The sequence below is a fragment of the Homo sapiens genome, chromosome 6 (genome assembly GCF_000001405.40).
Source record: "Homo sapiens chromosome 6, GRCh38.p14 Primary Assembly".
NCBI classification, from domain to species: Eukaryota; Metazoa; Chordata; class Mammalia; order Primates; family Hominidae; genus Homo; species Homo sapiens.
The window spans coordinates 96,773,358-96,775,055 of record NC_000006.12 but is presented as its reverse complement, the minus strand read 5'-3'; positions in this window follow the sequence as shown (position 1 = coordinate 96,775,055).

Sequence of the window (1,698 nt, the reverse complement as noted above, 5' to 3'; positions counted from 1 at the left end):
GTTCTGGGGTACATATGCAGGATGTGCAGGTTTGTTACATAGGAAAACGTGTGCCATGGTGGTTTGCTGCATCTATCAACCCATCACCTAGGTATTAAGCCCAGCATGCATTAGCTATTTTTCCTAATGCTTTCCCTCCCCGCACACCCCACCTCCCATAGGCCCCAGTATGTGTTGATCTCCTCCCTGTGTCCATGTGTTCTCATTGTTCAGCCTCCACTTACAAGTGAGAAGTGTTTGGTTTTCTGTTCCTCCATTAGTTTGCTGAGAATGATGGCTTCCAGCTCCATCCATGTCCCTGCAAAGGACATGATCCATTCCTTTTTATGGCTGCATAATATTCCATGGTGTATATGTACCACATTTTCTTTATCCAGTGTATCATTGATGGAAATTTGGATTGATTCCATGACTTTGCTATTGTGAGTAGTGCTGCAATAAACATATACGTGTGTGTATCTTTATAACAGAATGATTTATATTCCTTTGGGTATATACCCAGTAATGGGATTGCTTGGTCAGATGGTATTTCTGGTTCTAGGTCTTTGAGGAATTGCCACACTGTCTTCCACAATGGTTGAACTAATTTATATTCTCACCAACAGTATAAAACCACTAGTATCAATAGCTGAATAGACCAAGTGCAGCAAAAGATCCACTTTGTTTCTCTGCAGCCTCAACAGCATCTGTTGTTTCTTGACTTCTTAATAATCGACATTCTTACTGTTGTGAGATAGTATCTCACTGTGGGTTTGATTTGCATTTCTCTGATGATCAGTGATGTTGAAATTTTTTTCATATGTTTTCTGGCTGCATAAATGTATTCTGTTGAGAAGTGTCTGTTTATGTCCTTTGTCCACTTTTTAATTGGGTTGTTTTTTTTTTCTTGTATTTTAAGTTCCATGTAGATTCTGGATATTAGAGCTTTGTCAGATGGATAGATTGTAAAAGTTTTCTCCCATTCTGTAGGTTGTCTCTTCACTCTGATGATAGTTTCTTTTGCTTTGCAGAAGCTCCTTATTTTAATTAGATCCCATTTGTCAATTTTTGCTTTTATTGCAATTGCTTTTTCCATTTTCGTCAAGAAATCTTTGCTCATGCCTGTGTCCTGAATGGTATTGCCTAGATTTTCTTCTAGAGTTTTTATAGCTTGGGGTTTTACATTTAAGTCTTTAATCCATGTTGAGTTAATTTTTGTATAAGGTGTAAGGAAGGGGTCTAGTTTCAATTTTCTGCATATGGCCAGTTTGTTATCCCAGCACCATTTATTAAATAGGGAGTCCTTTTCTCATTGCTTTTTATGGTCAAGTTTGTCAAAGATCAGATCGTTGTAGACTTGCAGTCTTATTTCTGCATTCTCTATTCTGTTTCATTTGTCTGTGTGCCTGTGTTTGTACCAGTACTATGCTGTTTTGGTTACTGTAGCCTTGTAGTATAGTTTGAAGTCCAATAGCATGATGCCTCCAGCTTTGTTCTTTTTGCTTAGGATTGTCTTGGCTATATGGGCTCATTTTTGGTTTCATATTCATTTCAAAGTAGTTTTTTCTAATTCTATGAAGAATGTCAATGGTAGTTTAGTGAGAATGGTATTGAATCTATAAATTACTTTGGGCAGTATGGCCATTTTCATGATGTTGATTCTTCCTATCCATAAGCATGGAATGTTTTTCCATTTGTTTGTGTCCTCTCTGATTTCCT